Below are 26,887 nucleotides of genomic sequence, written 5' to 3' on the forward strand. Positions count from 1 at the left end.
GAGAAAATAGAATATCTGATATTTTTTAAAGATTCTTATTAATCAAGAGAAATGTTTGCCAGCCAGGTTTTCTGCTAAGAATCATTTATTGAAGACATAAATCAACGAGTTTGATCCAACCATTAGTAATTAAAGGGGATATATTTGAAGAGGCAACCATTGTGTTTCACTTGGCAATCTGGAGATTCAGTAGGTTTTATAATTCTTTGTCGTACGTTCAAGAGTTTTCCTGCAAGAGAAGTATCTGCTTAGAGAAATCAAATTTGAGGAAGTTAAGAGAAAAGCCACCACACTGGTAAACACAACCATAGTTCAGCAGGGGAAATGCTAAACAATTATTCTCTGAATTAAGGCAGGTTAGAGACATTCTAATTTCACTGGAGAAGGAAAAAGCAGAGTGAAAGTCGGTGGAAAAGAGGCAAAGGATGGGGATGTCTGGGTGAGACTTTGGACTCCAGGAGAGCCTCTGGGAACTCCTGAGGGGATAGAGGCAGTGGAGTTGACATGAAGCAGGGTCCTGGCAGAGGCCTGTTGGAGGATATGGAGCTTTCCATCTCCCTAAGAGTGTCTCAGGTTTCCCCTTCCCCTCTTTTCCCTTTCCTTTCCCTTCTCTTTCCCCTTCCTTCCTTCCTTCTTTCCTTCCTTCCTTTCCTCCCTTCCTTCTTCCACTTCCTCTTCCTCCCTATCCCTCTTCTTTCTCCATTTTCATGTCTTCTTTTCTTCTTTCTCTTCCTACTCTCTCTCTCTCCCTCCCTATCTGCCCCCCACCCCCCCACCTCTTCTGGAATTATTAGTTTCCTCAAACTCCAATTGATTCTCTAAGGACTGATTTAGGGGAAGGTGCCAATAGCTCATTGTAGTTCATCATTATGGTTGGCTCTTAATGCAATTATATACTCATATATATGAGTACATATCTTTATTAAGCCTATATCTCATTTGAGTTCATTCAAGTGTACATCTCATTTGAGTTTCATGATAACCCAGACAGATGAGTTCTAGCTGAGTCACAGAGGTATTAACTGAAAGATTTGTGACTTTTTCTTCAACGCTCTTCCCCAGACATCACATTCTGTACTTGGGATACCTGGGCTTACTACCTATACATAAGAATAACTAAAGCTGTCAGTGGTACTAGCTCTAGATCACTGAGTTTGTGCAATGAATTCTGACTTCAGTCTGCATTCTTTTTTTTTTTTTTTTTTTTTTTTTTTTTTGAGACGGAGTCTCACTCTGGCGCCCAGGCTGGAGTGCAGTGGCGTGATCTTGGCTTACTGCAAGCTCCACCTCCCGGGTTCATGCCATTCACCTGCCTCAGCCTCCCAAGTAGCTGGGACTACAGGCGCCCGCCACCAAGACTGGCTAATTTTTTTTGTATTTTTAGTAGAGATGGGTTTCACCGTGTTAGCCAGGATGGTCTCGATCTCCTGACCTTGTGATCCGCCTGCCTTGGCCTCCCAAAGTGCTGGGATTACAGGCATGAGCCACCGTGCCTGGCCCAGTCTGCATTCTTAATCTCTGCAAATCCTTGGCATCCAAGCTTTCTGAATTACTTTATAAAAGCAATATTAATTATATCAACAATTTCATCAGAGCCTTGGTAGAGAGACAGAATTGTGCTCTGCAGTAAAATTTTCAGGTGGTCTCCTATAGTTAACTTTTCATCCATGGCACAATTAATGTTTACATTTGAAATAAATGAATAAAATGCATTTTTGTCTTAAATAGACTGTTGAGGTCCCAACATGATACAGGGATCTCCCCTAGAAGATTTGGGATTTTCTAGTCCAAATGTGATGAAAGGAAGCTCACTGTATTTGGATGCCGCACAATTCTTTTCTGGATCGCTCTGATTTAGGGAAAATTCTATCATTTTATACTGATGTGATATCTTCCTTACCAATCCCTCTTTCTGCATGTCCCTAAAACTCTTCTCCCCTGTTAAATATTAGTCTTTACTTTGGCACATAAGTGATTCTTAGAACACTTTGAACACCATTCTATAGATATCCTTAAATTTAAAACCACCCCTTTGAAGTTAAAAGTTTAAAATGGATATAAGACCAGAGATTTATTTGACAAGAGTCATAGACTGAGGTACGGTCCAGATATAAAAGGAGGGATTTAGCAGGATTTTTAATGAGTAAGCCCAGCTCAGCAAGAATCTGACAGAAGTAGAAATTATGTGAGATCTTTTCATAGTTACCCCAAATCATGAAAGTGTCTAAAAGTTCTTGTGATTTCTCTTTAGTGGAACTAGAGAACATTCAGGTAATTGACCGTCCCTAAGTGAGTAATATGTGTGCTGGTCTGTAAATCAGATGAGCCCTGTGAGTTTGTCATGGAGATGGTGTCAGAAGACATTGTCATAAAATTATTACTAAATTATACAATTGTCCTGTTTTACCTGCTTTACCTCCTACTGTCTTTATTTTCTCTTCTACATTGATTTCTCCCAGTCTTGTTGCCACGCCTCATAATGCAATAATGATCTCTATGGCTTCAGCTGAGTTCTTGCTTTGGACTATAACCTGGAAGTCAGGGACACAATCTCTAGACCTAGGGCTCCGGCAAGTCCTGGCCCATTCACTCTCAGAATAACTGTTCACATTTCAATTAGTGTCTTTCATTAATATCCTAGATATTGGAAATGACAGGGAAGAGCAAGGGTGAAATAGATGTTCTTTAAGCTGAATTATCAGGCCAAATTATGTTTCTTCCTCCAGAAGGTGTTATTTTTGGTTGGGGAGATTTGAATATGAAGTATGTATTAGAAGATGACAATGAAATAATTAGTTGTAATAAGACCTTCTGAGTATGTAAGGAAATGTCCAAACTTATTAGAGAGGAACTCTGAAGTATGTAGGAGTGAATAACATGATGTCTGAGACCTGTTTTAATATACTTCATCAAAGAAAACAGAGAAATAAAAGAATAGAGGGAGGAAATGTGGCAAAACATTACAATTTATTGAATACACATGATAGGCTTATGGGATCTATTATTGGCTCTACTTTTATGTATGTTTGAAAATGTTCATAACAAAACATTTAAAACCCTCTAAAACAGTGAGCTCTTAACTTATCTAGTTTACTTCTAAAAATAAAAAATAAAAGTGTCTTTACTTACACATTGTCCATCATACAGTTTAGTTATGTTAAGCCCTTCAAATCTGAAAGAAATTATATTTTAAAATTATTTTTGCTGTATGGTATATCATAAATTCTGACTAAATTTTACTTGATAATCTTTGGCTAAGTTTGGGAAATAAACATTCTGCTAATAATGAATTCTTGGCAAATATTTAAAAATTCTACTATATGAATTTTTATTTGTCAAAGACATTGAGTATAGAAAACATACTCAGTCTACAATAAAATACAGAAATTCAAAATAGCCTTTGAAAATTCAAGTAGAAATACAGAGGATTAGAAAAAGAATGTGTCTTAAAGTTAAAATATGCATTTAATGAAAGCTGAAACATCGCTACTGACCTTACAGAAACAAAGGATTAAAAGAGAATACTATGAACAATTGTATGTCAATAGATTAGATATTCTGGATGAAATGAACAAATTCCTAGAAACACACAAATTATCAAAACTTAATAAGAAATAAAAAGTCTCAACAGACCTATGACAAGTAAAGATACTGAATCAGTAATAAAAAATGTCCCGACAAACACCAGATGGCTTTAGTACTGAATTCTACCAAAAAAAAAATTTTTTTTTTTTTTTTTTGAGACAGAGTTTTGCTCTTGTTGCCCAGGCTGGAGTGCAGTGGCACGATCTCAGCTCACTGCAACCTCTGCCTCCTGGGTTCAAGCAATTCTCCTGCCTCAGCCTTCCAAGTAGCTGGGATTACAGGCATGCGCCACCAGGCCCAGCTAATTTTTTGTATTTTTAGTAGAGACTGGGTTTCATCATGTAGGCCAGGCTGGTCTTGAACTCCTGACCTCAGGTGATCCACCCGCTTCGGCCTCCCAAAGTGCAGGGATTACAGGCATGAGCCACTGCACCTGGCCTACCAAATATTTTTAAAAGATTTAGTACCAATCTTTCTTAAACTCTTCCAAACAATACAAGAGGAGGGAACACTTGCTACTTCATTCTATGAGGACAGCATTACCATGTTATCAAAGACAGACAAAGACATCACATAAAGGAAAACTATAGACCAATATCCCTTGTGAATACAGATGCAAAGATTCTCAGAAAAATACCAACAAATTGAATACAACCACATATTAAAAGGATTATACACCATGACAAAATGGCCTTTATCCCAAGAATTCAGAGCGTTTCAAAAAAAAAATCAGCCAATTTAATAATATCACATTAATAGAATGACAGAAAAACACTGCATGATAATACTAATTGATTCAAAACATACACACATAATATTCAACAAAATCCAACACCATTTCATAATAAAACACCCAGAAAACTAGGAATAGAAGAGAACTTCTTCAACACGATAAAGAACACTTATGAAAAACCCATAGCTAATATCGTACTCAATGGTGAAAGACTGAAAGACCTGTATAAGATCAGGAACAAGACATGAATACCTGCTTTCACCACTGAGATTCAACATTGGACTGGAAATTCTAGGCGAGCAATTAGGCAAGAAAAAGAAATAAAAGGCATCCAAATTGGAAAGGAAGAAGTAAAATGATCTCTATTCAAAGATGATATGATTCTATATGTAGAAAATCCCAAATAATTAATATAAAAATGACTAAAGCTAATAAATTCAGCAAGTTGCAGAGTACAAGATTAACAAACAAAAATCAGTTGTGTTTCTATAACTATAAATCAGCAATGAACAATTTCAAAATAAAATTAAGAAAACAATTCAGTTTACAACAGCATCCAAAAAAGAAAATACTTAGTAAGAATCCTGGAGGTGAAAGACTTGTACACTCAAAACTACAAAATTGAAACTGCTGAAAATAAATAAAGAAGGCCTAAATAAATGAATGACATCCCATGCTCACTGACTGGAAGAATTAATTTAAGATGACAATACTTCCCAAAGCAATCTACAGATTCAATGAAATCCTTATCAAAATTCCAGTGGCCTTTATATTTTGTGGAAATAGAAAAGCCAATCTTGAAATTCATATAGAATTGCAAAGGGCCCTGAGTTGCCAAAATCATCTTGAAAAAGAAACAAAATTGGAAAACTCCAAATGTCCAATTTCAAAAACTTACTATAACACTACAATAATCTTGCAGTGTCAGCTACTTGGGAGGCTGAGGCAGGAGGATTGTGTGGGCCTGGGAGTTCAAGACTGCAGTGAGCTATGACCACACCACTGCTCTCCAACCTGGGAGATGCAGTAAGACCCTGTCTCCAAAAAAAAAAAAAAAGTATAATAATCAGTGGTACTGGTACTGGTATTAGGATATAAATACAGAACAAAAGAAAAGAATCAAGGATCCAAAAATAAACTCATATATCTATGGCCAATTGATTTTCAACAAGGGTACCAAGGCCATTCAATGGGGGAAGAGGATAGTTTCTTCAACAAATAAAGCTGGGACAACTGGATAACCACATGCAAAAGAATAACATTAGACAGGGTGGGCATGGTGGCTGATACCTATAATCCCAGCACTTTGGGAGGCTGAGTCAGGCAGATGACCTGAGGTCAAGAATTTGAGACCAGCCTGGCCAACATGGTGAAACCCAATCTCTATTAAAAATACAAAAATTACCCAGGCTTGGTGGTGGGCACCTGTAATCCCAGCCACTGGGGATGCTGAGGCAGGAGAATTGCTTGAACCCAGGAGGTGGAGGTTGCAGTGAACCAAGATCGTGCCACTTCACTCCAGCTTGGGTGACAAAGTGAGACCCTGTCTCAAAAAGAAAAAAGAAAAAAGTTAGACCTCTATCTCACACCATATATAAAATTTAATTCAAAAATGGATCAATGGGGCCGGGCGTGGTGGCTCACGCCTGTAATCCCAGCACTTTGGGAGGCCGAGGTAGGGGGATCACAAGGTCAGAAGTTCGAGACCAGCCTGGCCAGCATGGTGAAACCCCGTCTCCACTAAAAATACAAAAAATTAGCTGGGCGTGGTGGTGCACACCTGTAGTCCCAGCTACTCCGGAGGCTGAGGCAGGAGAATTGCTTGAACCTGGGAGGCAGAGGTTGCAGTGAGCTGAAATCATGCCACTGCACTCCAGCCTGGGAACAGAGTCAGACTCTGTCTCAAAAAAAAAAAAAGATCAATGGGCTAAAACTACTAAACTCTTAGAAGAAAAATTAGAGGTAAATCTTTATGCCTTTGGATTTTACAGTGGTTTTTTGGGTGTAATAGCAAACGTAAGAACAACAAAAGAAAAAATAGATAAATTGATGTCATCAAAATTAAAAACTTTGTGCATCAAAGGACATTATCATGAAAGTAAAAGGCAACCTATAGAATCGGGGGAGAAATATTTGAAAATCATAGTATTTAGTATTCAAAATATATAAAGAATTCTTACAACTAAAACATAAAGACAACACAATTTTTAAAAATGGGCAAAGGACTTGAGTAGATATTTCTCCAAAAAAGTATATGGATAGCCAAAAAGTACATAAGAAGATGTCCAACCTCATTAGTCATTAGAGAAATGTAAATGAAAACTTGATGAGATACCATTTTCACACCCACAAGGATGGATATAATAATATTTTTAAAAAGTACTAGCAAGGATGTGAAGAAATTGGAACTCTCATATTTCTGGAAGAATGTAAAATGGTTCAGCCCCTATAGAAAAGTTTGATGGTTCCTCAAAAAGTTAAACACAGAATTACCATATAACTCAGCAAATTCCACCCCTAGGTATATAACCAGAAGGCTGAAAACAGGTACTCAAATAAATACTTGTACACAAATGTCTATAAGAGCACTCTTCACAATAGTTAGACATGGAAACAACCCAAATTTCCTTCAATGAATAAATAAAAAAATTGTGGTATATACACATAATGGAAAACTATTCAGTAATACAAAAAGAAATGAAGATATATGCCACACTGTGGATGAACCTCAAAATGATTATGTAAGTGAAAGAAGCCAGACACAAAAGATCATAGGTTGTATAATTCCAGTTATGTGAAATATACAGAATAGTAAATCTGTAAAAACAGAAAGTCTATTGCTAGTTGCCAGGAACTGTGGGGAGGAGGGAATGGGAAGTTAACTGCTTAATGGACATGAGGTTTTATTCTGGAGTGACAAAAATGTTTTGAAAGTAATAAAGGTGGCAGTTTTATAACATTGTAAATGTACTAAATGCTACCAATTTGTTCACTTTAAAATGGTTCATTTTATGTCATATGAATTTTACCTCAATCTTTAAAAATATGCATTTGCACCCATTTATAGTTATAAGAACTTTGATAAGTTGCTCCCCTCAGGTCTCAGTGTCTTCATTCAAAAGTGAGCCCTTTTGCTTGGACAGTGAAAATGGAGAAGTAAGAATCTTTAAAATTTCCTCCACGAAAGCAACAAGAACACTGGCAAAAATGGTCAGAATCAAGTTTTCCAGAATTCTGGGAATTAAAAAAAAAAAAATCAAACCATGCAGCAATCCAAGGAACATCTATTGAAGAAAAATTGCTGCTTCTCAGTAAGAATAGTGAGTTTCATGGCATTTTATCTTGCTCTGGACCCATCTGCAGCATTCCCAGTTCCATGGTAGTAATGAAAAACAACCACCCACAATCATAGTGAAAACCAGCAGCCTGGCAGCATCTGGAGGGAGAAGACTGGTGTTGGAATGCCTTCAATGCACCATTACCAGAGAATTGTCATTATTTGACCTGTCTGGGTGGTTCTCTGAAAGACCCATTTGCAAAGCTTTTATTTGACCATACTCAAACCTCTCTTGGTGCAAACAGCCTTTTCCCTGGGAAAATTTGTTGAAAACAATCAGAGGCAACTGTTTAACATCATGGCTGCTGCACAGTGTGTAACAGTTGTGAAAAACAATAGGTTAACCAAGAGCTTAAAAGTAAGTTAGGCAATGAGATGTCCATAGGAGGTTTTGAAAAGCTCTAACATGTTACTGGAAATACAGAAGGCCTTGCAGCCAGTGTAAGGCTTTCTGCATGCTCAGAAAAGACCAGAGAAAGTCCCAACATCTCATCTCTAACTAATCTTGTGGGTCTGTGCAAACATCCAGTGACCACTAAAGTGTAGCTTTAAACTGCCTGGTTGAGTAGAGACATGCCTCAGTGCACACACAAAGTTTTTGTTGTCAAAGACTGGGAGATTTATTGGTTCCAGCCATTTAAGGAAATTTTTTTCCAATCATTAGCTGATAATAAGATAATGAGTAGGACCAGATCAATGGCCATACATGACAAAAAATGCATACTTTACAGGATTATTTCAGAAGTCACTAAACTAACACATGGCAACAACAACAAATAACAGCAACAAACCTTGGATAGAGGTGAGAATCTGATTTCCAGAGTTGCCACATTATATTATTCAAAATATTCAATTTTCAACAAAATAGTCATGGCACGTACAAAGGAAAAGAAAGTATGGCTCGCATATAGGATAAAAGTCAGTCAATGGAATCTGTCACTGAGGAAGCCCAGATGTTGGACTTACAAGACATTTTAAATCAGCTATTTTACTTATGTTTAAAGAACTGGGCCGGGTGTGGTGGCTCACTCCTGTAATCCTAACACTTTGGGAGGCTGAGGCAGGTGGATCACTTGTGGTCAGGAGTTCAAGACCAGCCTGACCAACATGGTGAAATCCTGTCTTTACTAAAACTACAAAAATTAGTGGGGCTTGATGGCACAAGCCTGTAATCCCAGCTACTTGGGAGGCTGAGATAGGATAGTTGCTTGAATCCAGGAGGCAGAGGTTGCAGTGAGCCGAGATCATGCCACTGCACTCCAGCCTGGGTAACAGAGTAAGACTCCATCTCAAAAAAAAAAAAAAAAAAAAAAAAGAACTGAAGGAAACTGTATGTAAAGAACAAAGAACTAAAGGCAAGTATGAGAATGATGTCTCACCAAATAGCGAATATCAATAAAGAGACAGAAAAAATTTTCCAAGAACCTGAATAAAAATTCTAAAGTTGAAAATTACAATGACCTAGAATGAAAAATTCCCTGGAGGGGCTCATATAAGATTTGAGCAGACAGAAGAAAGAGTCAAATGTGCTTGAAGATAGACCAATGAATAGTAACCAGTTTGAGGAAAAGAAAGAAAAATAATTATGAAGAAAAAAGAACAAAATGGGTTAAAATGCCTCACATAACCAATAAGATAAAACTCAATTCAAATTGGGAAAAAAATGAATATAGCCACAGAGAAGTGTGGGACACTGTCAAGGGCATCAACATATACATAAAGGGAATCCCTCAAGGAGAGGAGAATACTTGGAAAAATAATGGCTGAAATTCCCCAAGTTTGATGAAAAACTTCATCCAGTAAGTTCAAAAAACTTACAATAGGATGCATTCTAATAGAGCCACACATAGACAAATCATTATAAAATTGCCAAAAGACAAAGGCAAAGAGAGAATCCAAAAAGCAGAAAGGGAGAAGTGAATATCACATGTAAATGATCCTCATACTGCTTCTAGCCTCCATGAATTCTGATGAATTCATGTGATTCCTCCATCAGGAGTCATGGAAGCTGGAAGCAGTGGGATGACAGTCAAAATGCTGAAAGAAAATGAGAGGTGGCCAGGCACGGTGGCTCACACCTATAATCCCAGCACTTTGGGAGGTGGAGGAGGGTGGACTGCTTGAGCTCAGGAGTTCAAGACCAGCCTGGGCAACATGGTGAAAACCTGTCTCTACCAAAAATACAAAAACAAATTTAGCTGAACATGGTGGGGTGTGCCTGTAGTCCTAGCTACTCAGAAGGCTGAGGTGGGAGGATCACTTGAGCCCAGGAGGTCGAGGCTGCAGTGAGCCACAATCATGCCACTGCACTCCAACCTGGGTGACAGAGTGAGACCTGGTCTCATAAATAAATGAATAAATAAAAGAAAAATAAAAAAAGAAAATGACAGTCAACCAAGAATTCTATGCCCACCAAACTATTCTTCAGAAAGAAAGGTGAAATTAAGATATGTCTAGATAAAGAAGAATTGAGGCAATTTGTTGCTAGCAGACCTACAAAATACTAAATAGTCCTTCAGGCTAAAATGAAAGGATCATAAGCAGAAACTTGAATTCATGTGAAGAAATAAAGAGCCAGTTAAAGTAACTATATAGGAAAATAATAGACAGTATAAACATATTTTTGTTTGTAAATCTTTCTCTCCTAAGAGGCAACTGCATAAAACAATTATAAATCTGTGTGAATGGGTGTACAATGAATAAAGCTGTAATTTGTATAACAAAAACAGTTCAAAGAAGGATGGGGAGAATGGAGCTATTTAAGAACAGCATTTTTTGGCTGGGTGTAGTGGCTCATGCCTGTAATCCCAGCACTTTGGGAGGCCGAGGCAGGCTGATCACCTGAGGTTAGGAGTTTGAGACCAGCCTGGCCAACATGGTGAAACCCCATCTCTACAAAAATACAAAAATTAGCTAGGTGTGTTGGTGTGCGCCTGTAATCCCAGCTACTCGGGAAGCTGAGGCAGGAGAATCACTTGAACCCAGGAGGCAGAGGTTGCAGTGAGCCGAGACCACAGTATTGCACTCCAGCATGCGCAACAAAAGTGAAACTACATCTCAAAAAATAAAAAAAAAGGAGCATTTATTTATTTATTTATTTATTTGAGACGGAGTCTCACTTTGTCACCCAGGCTGGAGTGCAGTGGCGCGATCTTGGCTCACTGCAAGCTCCACCTCTCAGGTTCATGCCATTCTCCTGCCTGAGCCTCCTGAGTAGCTGGGACTACAGGCACCCGCCACCACGTCTGGCTAATTTTTTGTATTTTTAGTAGAGATGGGGTTTCACCATGTTAGCCAGGATGGTCTCTATCTCCTGACCTCCTGATCTGCCCGTCTCAAAAGAACTTTGCTCTGTTGCCCAGGCTAGAGTGCAGTGGCACGATCATGGCTCACTGCAGCCTTGAACTCCTGGGCTCAAGCAATCATCCTGACTTCCAAGTAGCTAGGACTACAGGCAGGTGCCACCATGCCTGGCTAATTTTTTAATTTTTTTTTGTAGAGTCAGGGTCTCGCTATGTTGCTCATGTCTCAAATCCCTAGGCTCAAGCAATCCTTCTGCCTCAGCTTCCCAAAGTGTTGGGATTACAGGCTTGAGCCACCCCTCCAGGCAAAAATATTTTTTAAAATTTTTGTAATTAAGTTGGTATTAATCCAAATTAGATTGGTATAAATTAGAATTTAACTTGTAATATCCAGTGCAACTGCTAAGAGAATAATTTCTTTTTTTTTGAGACGGAGTCTTGCTTTATCTCCCAGGCTGGAGTGCAGTGATGCAATCTCAGCTCACTGCAACCTCCGCCTCCTGGGTTCGAGGGATTCTTCTGCCTCATCCTCCTGAGTAGCTGGGATTACAGGCATGCACCACCACACCCGGCTAATTTTTGTATTTTTAGTAGAGACGGGATTTCATCATATTGGCCAGGCTGGTCTCGAACTCCTGACCTCAGGTGATCCGCCCACCTCGGCCTCCCAAAGTGCTGGGATTACAGGCGTGAGCCACTGCGCCCAGCTAGAATAATTTCTAAGATACACTGAAAGGGAGCTCTTTAGAGGCCATCTCTCAGATGTCTCCTGGTTCCAGCATCGTTTGACTCTGTCATGCTGCGCATTCCCCAGATGATGCTTTCTGATTGTCAGGTGTCAGCGTCTGTGCCAGTGATTGAGGCTGACACCAAAGTTGTTTACCTTACAACTCTCGTATGGGTTCTAGTGTAAGCTTTAGTGTTTATTCAGCCAAGAATACAAGAAAGTCCGATCCTGCCCAGCCAAATATCTCTCATCCTGATCAAGAAGATTCTTATTCCTTCTCTGGAGGAGAAGCTAAGAAGAGGAAGGGGAGAGAGACTTAATTCTGATCTACTCTTGTGTTTTTGCTTTTCTCTCTTAAGATAGCACTCAACTTGTAAGCCTTAGTTAGACAAGGGTGTGGCTTTTCTCCTTAAAGGAGAAGGCAGATGTCAGAGAATCCTCCTAACTGTATACGGAGTTTCCTTCATACAAACCCCTGCTCCTCACTATTCCCCTTGGGCTAAACAATTGGGCGTTTCACTTGTGTGTTACTCAAAGCTTCTAACATGTGATGGGTGCAGAGACTAAACCACATACTAAGTTGAAAGCAAAAGAAAGTTGTTTTGGAAAATAATATCCATTTTAGGACCAATAAACTATTAGCTGGGAAGATTCTTCACCCAGCTTCCTCTTCCTCTTCTTTTTGTTCTTTGTTTCTGTTCTTTGGCCTGAGGGGGCATGAGGATGACCTTCATGTAGGGTCACATGATCTACATGCTATGGCTGCTTGTTTCTGAGTGCCTCCACTTGAGGCTTGTCCAGGTCACACACAGTGCCCTCACCTTAGTGGATTTCTGTTTCTGCATTGTCTGAATAGGATCACATGTACCTTTTGAGGTCACAGAAAGGAATGGAAGAAAGGGAGGAACAAATACTGGAGGAATGTCTGGAGAGAAGGTCTCATTGGATGATGTAGGAAGTGGGCTGAGGTCATCACCCTCTTTTGACCACTCTTAACCTCTTGACTTGAAAGAAAGGGAGAACAAAATTAGGACTTACAGAATTTTGGAGCACAGATGGCAGTCACTACTGTAGGTAACCTGGTCACTGCCACAAATAGGTTCACTGGGCTTGATGTAGGATAAAAACCAGCACTTATTTACATTCTTGAGGCATTCAACCTGAAGGTGAGACACACACAACTGCTTCAGACACTTTCATCCAGGTCCTTTGGCCGTTATTATGTATAGCTTGGGAGGTGGATGGAATACGAGCACCAGATCAGGAGTTCAGAGAAAAGGATTCAGAAGCCTCAGTGTTTGACCCCAACAGTTACCACCCACAATATGTATATAATTGCAAAATAATATATAATCTGTGCACTCTCCAGACTCCCATAAATTCTTTATTAAGATAAAAATACCGGCCGGGCGCGGTGGCTCATGCCTGTAATCCCAGCACTTTGGGAGTCCGAGGTGGGTGGATCACGAGGTCAGGAGATCGAGACCACGGTAAACCCCATCTCTACTAAAAATACAAAAAATTAGCCGGGCGTGGTGGTGGGCGCCTGTAGTCCCAGCTGCTGGGGAGGCTGAGGCAGGAGAATGATGTGAACCTGGGAGGCGGAGCTTGCAGTGAGCCGAGATCGCGCCACTGCACTCCAGCCTGGGCGACAGAGCAAGACTCCGTCTCCAAAAAAAAAAAAAGATAAAAATCCCTGCCCTCTGTAACCTAACAATCATATTTTTGTACCAACCCCAAAATGTGATTGGTAGGTTACAGAGAGCAGAAGTAGGGAAATGTCTTTCCAGGTTAAAATTTCTGATGAAGGGCCAGGCATGGCGGCTCACGCCTGCACTCCCAGCACTTTGGGAGGCCGAGGTGGGCAGACCATAAGGTCAGGAGTTTGAGACCAGCCTGGCCAACATGGTGAAACCCCATCTCTACTAAAAATACAAAAATTAGCTGGGTGTGGTGGCACGTACCTGTAGTCCAAGCTACTCGGGAGGCTGAGGCAGAAGAATCACTTGAACCCAGGAGGCAGAGGTTGCAGTGAGCTGAGATCGCGCCACTGCACTCCAGCCTGGGCAACAGAGCAAGACTCCGTCTCAAAAAAAAAAAAAATTCTGATGAACATTATCATATGTGGTGCCTCAGATGGCAGGGGCTGAAACTTGTCACAGCAGGTTGAAGGCACCAAAGGAAGGAGATGGAGGAAATACCTCATAGGGCCTTGGTGTGAGGGAGGCAGGGGGTATGCCTGGCATATCATGGTGGAAACAGTATCCACTGTGGCATAGGACCTACCTGAATTTGTGCCACGACATCCTCATCCATTTATTGGTGCAAAATACTTGCTTTCTACCCCACAGGTGAGTTATGTAAACTGATTGGGAGAACCCTTGAGAAGAGGGCTCAGGAACATATAAAATGTGCTACACATACTTGGTGACTCAGCTTTTATTGTTCTGTTATTCCCATGCAAGCCCCCTCCACTGCCCACCTCCCAGAAGAAAGAGCTGGGGCTTTTGGGCAAACTGGCTCTCTCCCCATTCCTGTTATTAGGAACCAAGGAAGCAGTACTCACTATTGTTTTGTCTAGCTGACCTCTTTCAGAGGCCATAGGAAGGGGGAAGTCTGGAAGACAAAAGCACATACAGAAAAGTTGCTTCTCTGTCTTCTGCCCTCAGCGAAAAAGGTAAGATGAGGGGAACCCTAGTTGGCACACAGGAAGCATCAAACCCCATCAGAAGAGGCTGGGCTCCTCTTTGATGCAAGCTGCCCTCTAAAGGAGCAAAGAATCAGGAAATACGTGCCTTTACCTTCTTGTAAAATGGAGTTCTTAATTCTAGCCCTTCCATTTCATAAGTAACAACTTCTGTAATCCTTGTCAGTTTTTTTTAGTAAACATGCTCTAAGTTACAAATTACCATGAATTCATTATATTGAGATGCCCTAAAAGATGCTGAGTTTCATTAAGGCTTACATATTCAATTCAAAGCAGTCTTTGCAATTACATATGTATATAAAATTTTATATAAGTATATATTATAATCACATGATATAATTTTATAGTATATAATATGTATAATATGTTATCAACTCTCATATATATCAGCTTTCTTGGGTATAATTCACATATCATAGAATTTTACCAGATTTTTAAAAAATGCTTTGACCTGCCTGGCCAACATGGTGAAACCCTGTCTCTACTAAAAATACAAAAATTAGCCAGGCATGGTGGTGCATGCCTGTAGTCCCAGCTACTTGGGATGTTGAGGGAGGAGAATGACTTGAACCCAGGAGGTGGAGGTTGCAGTGAGCCAAGATCGCACCATTACACTTCAGCGTGGGTGAAAGAGCAAGACTCCGTCTAAAAAAAAAAAAAGTTTTCAGACAGAGTCTTGCTCTGTCACCCAGGCTGGAGTGCATTGACACGATATCAGCTCACTGAAGCCTCAACTACCTGGGCTCAAGTAATCCTCCTACCTCAGCCTCCCAAGTGGCTGGGACTACAGGCATGCACCACTATGACCAACTTATTTTCTTGATTTTTTTGGTGGAGCTGAGGTCTCACTACGTTGTACAGGCTGGTCTGGAATTCCTGGGCTTAAGCAATTCTCCCACTCAGCCTCCTAAAGTGCTGGGATTACAGATGTAAGCCACCATGCCCAGCTGAATTTACCAATTTTTACCATCATATAGAGGATTTTTTTCTTTTTAAATAATTCACCTAAAGTTTACAGTTTGATGGTTTTTAGTATATTCACAGTTATGCCATCATCACCTCAAAAAGAAACCCTGTAACCATTAGCAGTCATTTATCATGCCCCTCTTCCAACTATTTCCCCTCCTGCCCCACCCTCGCCCCTGAAAAACAATAATCCACTTTCTGTTTCTTTTTGTTTTTTTTTTTTAGACAGAATCTTGGTCTGTCGCCTAAGCTGGAGTGCAGTGGCGCGATCTCAGCTCACTGCAACCTCGGCCTCCTGGGTTCAAGTGATTCTCCTGTCTCAGCCTTCCAAATAGCTGGGATTACAGGTGCATGCCACCATGCCCAGCTAATTTTTGTATTTTTAGTAGAGACGGGGTTTCACCGTGTTGTCCAGGCTGGTCTCGAACTCCTGACCTTAGGTGATATGCCCACCTCAGCCTCTTAAATTTCTGGGATTACAGGCATGAGCCATCAAGCCCAGCCTCTACTTTCTGTTTCTGTAGATTTGCTTTTCTGGACATTTCATATAAATGGAGTCATGCAACGAAGTATATGGTTTTTTGTGTCTGTGTTTTAATGTTCTAACTATATTGTAGCTTGTATCAGTACTTCATTCTTTTTTATAACTAAATAATATTCAATGTATGTATATTCCACATTTTATTTATCCATTAATCAGTTAATGGACATTTGAGTTGCTTTCACTTTTTTGCTATTATGAATAAAGCTGCTATGAATATTTATGCACACATTTTTGTGTGGGCATGTGTTTTTATTTCCCTTAAGTATATACAAAGTGTGGAATTGCCAGTCATATTCCAACCTTTTAAGGACTTGCCAGGCTATTTTCCAAAGCAGCTGCATTTTACATTCCCATCAGCAAGGCACGATGGCTTCAATTTCTTCACATCTTTGCTAACATTTGTTACTATCTTTCTTTTTTCTTATAGCCATCCTAGTAGGTGTGAAGTGGTATCTCTGTTGTTTTTGTTTGTTTTGTTTTGTTTTTTGAGACAGAGTTTCGCTCTGTCACACAGGCTGGAGTGCAGTGGCGTGATCTCTGCTTACTACAACCTCCACCTCCCAGGTTCAAGCAATTTTCGTGACTCAGCCACCCGAGTAGCTGGGATTACAGGTGTGCACCACCACACCCAGCTAATTTTTGTATTTTCAGTACCTCAGGTGATCTGCCCGCCTCAGCCTCCTAAAGTTCTGGGATTACAGGCATGAGCCACCACTCCTGGCCATATTGGTATCTTTATTGGTATCATTTGAATCACAAAAGTTTTTAAAAGTCCAATTGATCTTTTTGTTTTTGTTGTTCCTTTCTGCCTTTGGTGCCATCGTTAAGAAGGCTTTGCCTAATTCAAGGTCACGAAATTCACTCATATTGTTTTCTTCTAATAGTTTTATAATTTTAGCTCTTACATTTAGTTCTGTGATCCATGTTGAGGCATTATAATTTGTGTCCATGGTGTGAGGAAAAGGTCCACATTTATTCTTTTGTATATAGATATCCAGTTGTCCTAGCAGCATTTGTTTAAAAAGATTATTGTCCACTGAATTGTCTTCAGAGCTTGTTAAAATCAATTCACTCCAAATGTAAGGTGTTTTTCCCCTGGACTCTTATATTTTATTGATCTGTATTTCTTTTTCTTTTTCATAAAACGTATGACTGAAACATTGACCTGTATTTCTATTCTCATGCTAGTACCAAACTGTCTTGATGTCTGTAACTTTGTAGTAAGCTTTGAAATTGAAAAGTGTGAGTACTTCAACTTTTTTTTTTTTTTTTGAGGTCTATTTTGTCTATTGTCAGTCTTTTGCTTTTCCATATGAATTTTAGAATCAGCTTTTCCATTTCTGCAAAAAAGCCAGCTGTGGTTTTGATAGGATTTGCATGGAATCTGTAGATTGATTTCTAGAATATTGCCATCTTAACAATGTTAAGTCTTCCAATCCATGAAGATGGGATATCTTTATGTTGGTTTAGGTCTTCTTTAATTTCTTTCATCAATGTTTTGTAGTTTTCAGTGTGCAAGTCTTTCACCTCCTTTGGTAAATTATCCTTAGGTATTTTATTATTTTTGATGCTATTGTAAGTGAAATTGTTTTCTTAATTTCATTTTCAGGATGTTCATTAGTAGTGTATAGATATACAAATGATTTTTGTATATTGCTCTTGTATTCTGCAAACTTGCTATTAACACTAACAGTTTTTAGAGTATTCCTTAGGACTTTCTATTCACAAAATTATGTCATCTACAAACAGAGATCATTTTACTTCTTCCAATCCTATCTGGATAACTTTTATTCATTTTCTCTTGCCTAATTACCCTGGCTTGAACCTCCAGTACAATGTTAAATAGTAGTGGTGAGAGCAACGTTGCTCCCACTCACCCCCTTTGTGCTATTATCAAATATATTACATTTCTATATGTTCTCTAACATAAAGAACATATAGAATACATTCAAATAAACATTTCTATATAGTAGAAAAATTACTTTACATGATTTCAATCCTTTTAGATTTATTGAGGCTTGTTTTATGATCTAGGATATGGCCTATCCTGGAGAACACTGCATGTGCACCTGAGCAGTATGTGTATTCTGATGTTGTTGGATGGTGTAGTCTGTAGATGTCTGTTGGGTCTAGTTGGTTAATAGTGTTGTTCTAGTCTTCTATTTCCTTATTGGTCTTCTGTCTAGTTGTTTTAGCCATTATTGAAAGTTTGAGGTGATGTCTCCAACCATTATTGTTGTATTATCAATTTCTCCCTTCAATTCTGTTAGTTTTGCTTCATATATTTGGGGCTTTATTTTTAGGTGCATATATGTTCATAATTGTTTTATCTTCCTGATAGACTGACCCTTTATCATAACATGTCTCTCTTCATTTGTAGTAACATTTTTGTTTTGAAGTATATTTTGTCTGATATTAGTATAGCCATTCCAACTTTTTATGGTTGCAGTTTGCATGATATATTTTTCTCATCATTTTACTTTCAGCTTATTTGTGTTTTTGAATCTAAGGAGTATCTCCATATAAAGCATATAGTTGGATGTTGGTTTTTTTTTGTTCAGTCTGACAGTTTATGCCTTTTGATTGGATTGTGTAATTCATTCGCATTTAATTTTTTTATTGATATAGTTGGATTGACTTACACCTGCCATTTTACTTTTTGTTTTGTGTATGTCTCCTTTTTTCTCAAGTCCTCCTTCACTGGTTTGTGTTGCACTAAGTAAGTAAGTATTTTTTTAATGTAACGTTGTAATTTTTTTTTTTTTTTGAGACAGCGGCTCACTCTGTTGCCCAGGCTGTAGTGCACTGGTACATTCTTGGCTCACTGCAACCTCCACCTCCCTAGTTCAAGTGCTTCTCCTGCCTCAGCCTCCCCAGTAGCTGGGACTATAGGTCTGCACCACCATGCCTGGCTAATTTTTTTTTTTTTTTTTTGAGAGTGAGTTTCACTCTTGTCACCCAAGCTGGAGTGCAATGGTGCGAACTCAGCTCACTGCAACCTCTGCCTCCCAGGTTCAAGTGATTCTCCTGCTTCAGCCTCCTGAGATGGGAGGCTGGGATTACAGGCATGCACCACCATGGCTGGCTAACTTTTGTATGTTTAGTAGAGATGGGGTTTCTCCAAGTTGGTCAGGCTGGTCTCAAACTCCCGACCTCAGGTGATCTGCCCGCCTTGGCCTCCCAAAGTGCTGGGATTACAGGCATGAGCCACCATGCCCAACCGTCCTTTCTTTTCTTTTCTTTTTTTTTTTTTTGAGACACTGGGCTGACCTAAGCTAGGGTGAGGGCCATCAGGGCCCCACTACTCTCAGTCTGCCTCACCTGGGATGGAGCCTCAGTCTCACAAGTAGGAGATGGGTGGGAAAAAAGAGAACCCTGCCTCTGGGACTCACTTTCCTGGAATTTAGCCTCAGCAACACAAAGGTATGGGGGGAATGAAAAATGTTGACGACGTGTCCTTCTGAGGGAGATATACCATTGCCCCCTGTAAGCTTAGGGAGAGAAGAAAAACTCATCTTGGCCATATCTGTCCAGAGTAGATCTTCCCTCACACTGCGCTGGGAAGGGAAGGGGAAAGATAGGCAGTGGCTTAAGTTCTACACATTCTTGCTGTTCCTACCTTTTGAAACATTTATCAAAATGTGTGGTCTGGCCGGGCGCGGTGGCTCACGCCTGTAATCCCAGCACTTTGTGAGGCCAAGGCTGGCAGGTCACCTGAGGTCAGGAGTTCAAGACCAGCCTGACCAACATGGTGAAACCCTGTCTCTACTAAAATACAAAAATTAGCTGGGCATGATGGCAGATGCCTGTAATCCTAGCTACTTGGAAGGCTGAGATGGGAGAATCGCTTGAACTTGGGAGGCAGTGGTTGCAGTGATCTGAGATGGTGCCACTGCACTCCATCCTGGGTGGCTGAGGGAGACTCTGTCTCAAGAAAAAAAAAAAAGGTGTGGCCGGGTGAGGTGGCTCATGCCTGTAATCTCAGCACTTTAGGAGGCCAAGCCGGATGGATCATTCGAGGTCAGGTGTTCGAGACCACCCTGGCCAACATAGTCAAACCATGTCTCTACTAAAAATAAAAAAAATTTAGCCAGGCATGGTGGCACATGCATATAGTTCCAGCCACTTTGGGGGCTGAGGTGGGAAACTCGCTTGAACCCAGGAGGTGGAGGTTGCAGTGAGCTGAGATCACACCACTGCACTCCAGCCTGGGTAACAGCAAGACTCTGTCTCAAAAAAAAAAAAAAGTGTGTTAATATTAGGTATGAACTATGATATCTATATATCTTCCACCACTGGTGTGTTCAGGTACCACTCCTGACACATAACCCATGTCTAGCCCAGTTACTGGCATAAGGTCAACACACAGTATATATTTATTGGATATGTAAATAAATGGGTGCTGGGAAACCCAGCATAGTAGTAAGGGCCACATCACAAAGGCTTTGTGTTTATTACAGCAGAACTAAGATAAGATTTGCACTAAAAATGACAACTATTGTAGCAGTGGTACATGGGTTAGAGTAAGTCAAGTTAGAGGCAAAGGGAACGGTTAAGGAGAATATAAAAATATTTTCATGAAATGATGAGAACCTTCACTGAGGAAGTCACTGTTGTGGAAATGTGGAAAAGCATGAATTTACATGATATATGAAGTGTTCTATCAACCGAACTTAGTCACTGGTTATGGGCATACAGGGGAGAAATAGGTTTGAGGCAAAAATATAAGGCCATACAACTACAAGAACAAGGAAAGGGTGATTTGCAAGAAAGATGGAGTGGTCCACTTTGGTTGAGTTATGGTGTGTTCCCGACAGAGGATGAGACTCAGCCAGAAGGGAACACAGCAGGCTTGCAGGGAGGCTGATGCCAATGGCTGATATGCTCAGTAGCAGTGGGGGTGAGGATTGAATGAAAGGTGAGGAAGTGTAGAAATATACCTAGATTTGTCAACAGATGATTAAATTGGAGAGGGAAGGGGAGGAGAGGGACCAGGCTTATTTGTTTTTTACGTAAGATATGAGAGTCATGAAAAATAGTTTTCAGCTTGTTACAGAACTCTCCTAAGATGTGAGAGCCTTGAAAAAAATGTTTTAAGTGAGACGCCGTACCAATGGAAAGTAAGAGATTGAAGACAAGTAGGAAAGAGTTGCAGAAATCGAATAGAAAAACAACATGTTGAGGCCTTCAGAGATTCCCTACTGTTAACTATAAGCATGACTTTTGCTAAAACCCGCCATTAACCAGAATAATATCTGAGTCTACTTCCACATAGTCTAATGAGTTTCTTTTTTTGATTTGAGATATGTAAATATACAAACTCTAGAAATGTACATTTCTGAGGTTTAAATATCTTAGGTAGTAACCTGGCATTTTGGGAAGTTCAATGTTCCTGGACTTGGATGGTTTGGATTCAAATCCCAGCTTTGATAGTAGCAACATTGTATGAATCCTTTCTCTGGGTTTTAATTTCTACATTTGTAACATGAGAAATTAGGATTAAATAAAACTGAACAGCACTTCCACTTCCATCTCTAATCTTCCCATGATTCTAGATTTACTGCAGAAAATGTGGGCAGAGCAAGGACACATAACTCACCAATTGCAAAGGCCATCCACATGGAGGTAGCTAGAACAAGGATGGCGTCTGAGCAGATCCCCTTCATGGTGACAGAAGAACTGTGGAAATATGCAACTTTTGATGTAGGACAAACATCTATGCGAAGTACAAGTTCTCACAGAGATCCCTCACTGACCAGGAAATGAAGTCTAAATACTTTGTTCTTTCCTCAGGTCATTTGGAATGAATTGTGTCTGATGCAACTCAATTGTTTAATTCATTTCCCTAAAATCTTTGGACATTTGAAAAAAAAATCTTAAAAACAGAATTTTAGAAGATGCCAGAAAAAGAGTTAGTAAAGAATGCTTGCCAAGGGAAAGAATAAATACTAAGAGTTTTCCAATAAAATATTTAAAAGTAGCCAGGCATGGTGGCTCATGCCTGTAATCCCAGCATTTTGGGAGGCCAAGGCAGGAGGATCACTTGAGCCCAGGAGTTCGAGACCAGCCTGGGCAACATAGCAGGACCCCATTTCTGAAGAGCAGTCACTCAACAACATGTGTAAGTCAACAGGCAATAAGAAACAAGAAGGGACAAAACACCAAAACCTCACTCCTTTACTTGTAATCTTCCCTAATGTTGTTACTTGGTGTTAATACTTAGTATCCAGTAAAATTACTGAAAGGAAAACCATAGTATATTTACCAACAGCTTACTTGCATTATTGAAATTATTATAGTACATACCAATTGATATTTTAATTACTGGTTTCTATTCTCTTCATCCTACACATTTTCCAGGCAAACATTTTTCATTCTATATCGAGGTAATTTCTACCCAAGGCCTCCCCTGAGGAAAAAACCAAGTAATAAATAATACAACCCTTAAAAGTTTGCAAATTAAGAAGTCCACTTTACCTGCTGTGACTCCCATGGTTGCTCTGAGAAACTGGCTGAACAGGATGGTTTTTGTTGATAGTTTGTTCATAATGAACTAGGAAGGAAGGCAAAGCTTATTTGTCTTTTCAAGGTTCCAATGCCTGGAAGTAGAAGAGAGTGAGCTTTGAAATTAGGAAGTGTAGATATGACTCAAATCTATTTCTTTCAACTCTAAATTCTGTAATGCCTAAATCTTGTGAGTTCATATTTCAAATTTCTGAGGGTGATATGTACTGTCCAGTACTACTCCCAAATCTAGCTGTTCTTGCCAAAGCTGAACCTACCATTTTAGACATATGTCATAGACAATTTTTGAATTCCTACATTTTAATTTGCATTATAATTATTACATTCAAGACGGCTTCAGATATTGACACAATATTATAAAGTACCACATCTGCATGTGCAGTTATTTTATCAAGTCAAAAGTGTTCACTTTATTGAAGCATCTGCTTTAGATTATTTCTATATTGACTTATAGAGGTTCTATTTATTTTTATTTCTTTAGAGACAAGGTCTTTCTCTGTTGCCCAGGCTGAAGTACAGTGGCATAATCACAGCTCACTGCAGCCTTGAACGCCTAGCCTCAAGTGACCCTCTTGCTTGGCCTCCCAAAGCATTGGGATTACAGGTGTAAGCCACTGATTTGGCCTGACTCACAGGGTTTTAAAGTAGAAAATTACCTTATATGGAATCCTCCAAGTTCAGTCTTATTTAGCAGAGCTGAGAAATCTGGAGATAGAGTGCTCATTTCCCTTAAATGATAGCTTGTTCTACCATTTGAACAAAAATTTCTCAAAACGCTAACATTTTTTAAAGCAGAAGTTCAGAAGTTATTGGTTATCATAAATTCCTCAGGTCTAAGTCCTAAATGAATGGCCTTAACTGGGGACATGCCACATAGTTCTGGGAGGTCAAGTGTATTTTCTCAGCACTGCTCTGATCAACCACAGTGTCTACCATGGTGGTCTTCAGAATTTTTGCTTTTAATCCCTCTAAATTTGGTGCCTGCTTATATATATTTTTAAGTTACATGTAAAATTTTCCATCAGAAATTTTAATAGGCTGGGTACTGTGGCTCAAGCCTGTAATCTCAGCACTTTGGGAAGCTGAGGCAGGCGGATCGCTTGAGGCTAGGAGTTCGAGACCGGCTTGGCCAACATGGTGAGACCCTGTCTCTACTAAAAATGCAAAAATTAGCTGGGCGTGGTGGTGCGTGCCTGTAATCCCAGCTACTCATGAGGCTGAGGCATGAGAATCGCTTGAACCCAAGAGGCAGAGGTTGCAGTAAGCCGAGATCGCGCCACTGCACTCTAGCTTGGGAGACAGAGCAAAACTGTCTTTTTGTTTTTCAGTTGCAAGATTTAATAGAGTGGAAACAGAGCTCCCATATGATGGGAAGAGACCCAAAGGGGGTTGCCACTCCCTGCTTGAATGCCTGGGTTTATATCCCGATCATTGTCCCTCCCCTGTGTTCTCAGGCGATATATGATTTGACTATTTCTTTACCTCCTGCTTTTAGCCTATTTTGTATTTTAGTGAGCCCTCTTTACTACCTGATTGGTCGGGCTTGAGCTGAGTTACAAGCCCCTGTTTAAACGTGGGTGCGTTCACCTTCTCTAGCTAGGCTTACAAATTCTTAGTCAGCCTAAGAAATCCAGCTAGTCCTGTCTCTCAGTCCCCGCTCTCAACAGGAAAACCCAAGTGCTGTTGGGGGGATTGGCTGACAACTGCTCTAACTGCTTCCTGCTCAACTGGGGCATAGTAGGGGTCGTGCAGTTGAGATTTCCTAGGGAGGGGTGCCTTTGATGTCATCAATATCACAGCATGGGCTAGCAGGCCGGTCCAAGGATCCCTGGTAGATCTTAGTCAGGGACTGCATCTGGGGCTCCATTTGAAGAACATTTGTAGTTTTACAGCTTTGATTCTGGAAGAGACAAACTTAACAAGGAGGTTAAAGATACAGGGATTGAAATGTATGGCCTGAAGTTCAGGGGCATATGGGTGTGGGGCTGAAAGTGGGGTTTCCTTTAGAAAAACTCCTATAAGATGGGGCTTCAATATTTCCGGGAAGCCGCATTCTCCATAGAAGCTCTTGGTAAGGGGAGCTACTGGTAGTATAGCGGCACGGAGGGGATTACCCTATACTAGGGGGTCCTTCTATAAGCCTTTCTAATGGAGGGTCCTGCCTTGTGGCTCTTTGGCTTCAATATCTGCTTGGCGGTTCCCTTTCTATTTCCCTTTCCTTTCCTTTCTGATGACTCCTGCAGTGTAAGACTGCCACCTCTTTAGGTTTCTGTACAGCCAATGATAATCTTCTAATGGCTTCCTGATATTTGATAGGTGTTCCCTCAGAAGTTAGGAATTCTCTTTCTCTCCATATTGCTGCGTGGGCATGGAGGACTAGGTAAGCATACTTAGAGTCTGTATAGATATTTACCTTTTTTTCTTCTCCTAATTCTAGTGTATAATGGCCCCTGTTTTTGCTAGAATGTCTCTCCCTAACAAGGGAATGGGGCTTTCAGGCATAATTAGAAAGGTATGTGAAAATGGTAAAGTTCCCTAGTCACAACTTAGTGTCTGGGAGAAGTATCTAGTGACTGCCTGTCCTAGGACCCCTCGGATAGTGACAGATCTGGAGGACAGTTGTCTGGGACAGGAGAGTAAGACTGAGAAGGCCGCGCTAGTGTCCAGCAGACAGTTAACCTCCTGGCCCTCAGTGGTCAAGCATACCTGGGGAGGGTGATGCCAGGGGCTGGCGCTTGCCCCAGGCACCCTCAGTCCTGCTGCTGGATCATCTGGTTAGTGGCTTCTGACTCAGAGGACCTTCATCCCCTGGGGCAGTGGGCCTTCCAGTGATACCCTTGAAATAAGGGGCATGGATGAGGGGGTGGCTTATTTCTATTCGGACAATCTTTTTTAAAGTGTCCTTGTAGACCGCACTGGAATCAAATCCCTATTAGGCATTCGATTTGCCCAGCCTTTCACTTTTCCAGAGCCTCCAAAGTCCACTTGCCTGAAGGCCATGACTAAAGCGGTGGCCTTCTTTTTATCCCGTTTGTCCAGTTCTGCCTGCTCCTTCTGATCTCTATTATAAAAACTGAGGCCAAGTTCTTAGTTTAAGTTTTGTTCCAGGCCTAAGGCGGATTTTGAAGTTTTTTTCTAATGTCTGCAGCTGAGTGATAAACTTACCCTTTAAGATTAGTTGGCCTTCAATAGATCCAGATGACAGAGAGGTATGCTTCCTCAATGCCTCCCTTAGTCTCTCCAGAAAGGCAGTAGGATTTTCTTCCTTTCCCTGTGTTATAGTGGGCATCATTGAATAATTCATAGGCTTCTTCCTAGTTTTTCTTAGTCCTTCTAGCATGCAAGTTAGCAAATGTCTGCGGCACCAATCTCCACATTCTGATTCTGCGTCCCATTGAGGGTCTACACTGGGAACTGCCTGCTGGCCTGTGGGGAATCGTTCTCTTTCCTCTGTTGTCATCCTATCATTGACCTGACTGAGATACCAGAGATTGCCAAACTCTTGGGCTGCAGTTATAGCGGCACTTCTCTCATTTGGGGTTAGTATCTGATCTAGCAGTAACATTATGTCTCTCCATGTCAGATCAAAGGATTGTCCTAACCCTTGTAAAACATCAATATAGCCATCAGGGTTATTTGAGAATTTACCTAGGTCTATTTTAATTTGCTTCAAGTCTGAGAGGGAAAAAGGTACACACACTCTGGGCTGAATTCTCCTCCTCCCACCACTTCAAGGGGGCATAATCTGGGAATATTGGCACTCTTTGGTTCATTGTTTACCCCTTTCTCTATCTCCTTTGGCACCGTTTGTGTTGAAGGGGGGTCATTATTAGTTGGGGAAGGAGCCGGGGGAACGCCGGGGCAGGGGGGTAGATTCTGAGGGCTTCCTGTAGGGCATAAATCACACTTTTAACATAATTGTGAGTTGTCTCTTAATGAAAAGAAAGTTTGCACATATGGCACTTCGCTCCATTTGCCCTATTTTCTACAAAAGAAGTCTAGCTGTAAGATGGTGTTATAATTTATACTTCCCTTGGAGGGCATGTTTCTCCCTCTTGAAGAGGATATTGTGGCCAGGGGTACTGCAGAAGAATATAAGTCGTTTCTTTCTTAGCATCTGAGGGTCAAATTGGTCCTAATTCTCTAGAATACATCTTAGGGGCGTTTTTGCCTGGGAGGGGGGAACGTTTAAAAAGAACATAGGGATGCCAGCACCCCTAGTCATTTTCTGATGAGCATTAGTCCTAGAGCGTCCTCTGTGGTCCTAATGCTTATTCCTTTTCAGGGTGCGTAACCACCCACGGACCTCTGCTTATCAGATTAGTTACACTCACCGATGTAGCAGTCCTGCACCTGTTTTCCTGCCCTTCTTGACCACAAAGAAAGGGGTCTGGGCTGCTGGATTCTAGTGGTCCTTTACCAGCGTGCCTGACATTGCCTTTGCACTCAGGAGTGAGTTCT

The 26,887-nt window shown here is 40.6% G+C and overlaps 1 protein-coding gene and 1 non-coding gene across 4 annotated transcripts; both read right to left on the reverse strand.

The window, feature by feature from the left end:
- Window positions 1-67: 67 nt before the first annotated feature.
- On the reverse strand, window positions 68-26,887 carry SPINK8 (serine peptidase inhibitor Kazal type 8 (putative)). 3 transcript variants are annotated; one of them, XR_002959568.2, is made up of 9 exons: window positions 26,761-26,887; window positions 25,592-25,697; window positions 22,379-22,500; window positions 21,501-21,580; window positions 14,251-14,300; window positions 12,723-12,844; window positions 3,130-3,172; window positions 2,408-2,531; window positions 68-229 (listed from the first exon to the last, which is right to left on the reverse strand). XR_002959568.2 is itself a non-coding variant. In NM_001080525.3 (8 exons), the coding sequence occupies exons 4-8, from the start codon at window positions 21,565-21,567 to the stop codon at window positions 218-220; spliced, it is 294 nt and encodes a 97-aa protein (NP_001073994.1). In that variant the 5' UTR covers window positions 21,568-21,580; window positions 22,379-22,500; window positions 25,592-25,697; window positions 26,761-26,887; the 3' UTR covers window positions 68-217. The 3 variants fall into 3 exon arrangements, 2 of the variants coding, with proteins under 2 accessions (NP_001073994.1, XP_024309480.1); NM_001080525.3 differs by lacking the exon at window positions 2,408-2,531; XM_024453712.2 differs by lacking the exon at window positions 68-229 and having other exon boundaries at window positions 2,367-2,531.
- Window positions 9,586-9,685, reverse strand: MIR2115 (microRNA 2115). Its single transcript, NR_031749.1, has one exon. It is a non-coding gene; the product is annotated as a microRNA 2115 (primary transcript).

This window comes from Homo sapiens, chromosome 3 (assembly GCF_000001405.40).
Source record: "Homo sapiens chromosome 3, GRCh38.p14 Primary Assembly".
In the NCBI taxonomy this organism is placed as follows: Eukaryota; Metazoa; Chordata; class Mammalia; order Primates; family Hominidae; genus Homo; species Homo sapiens.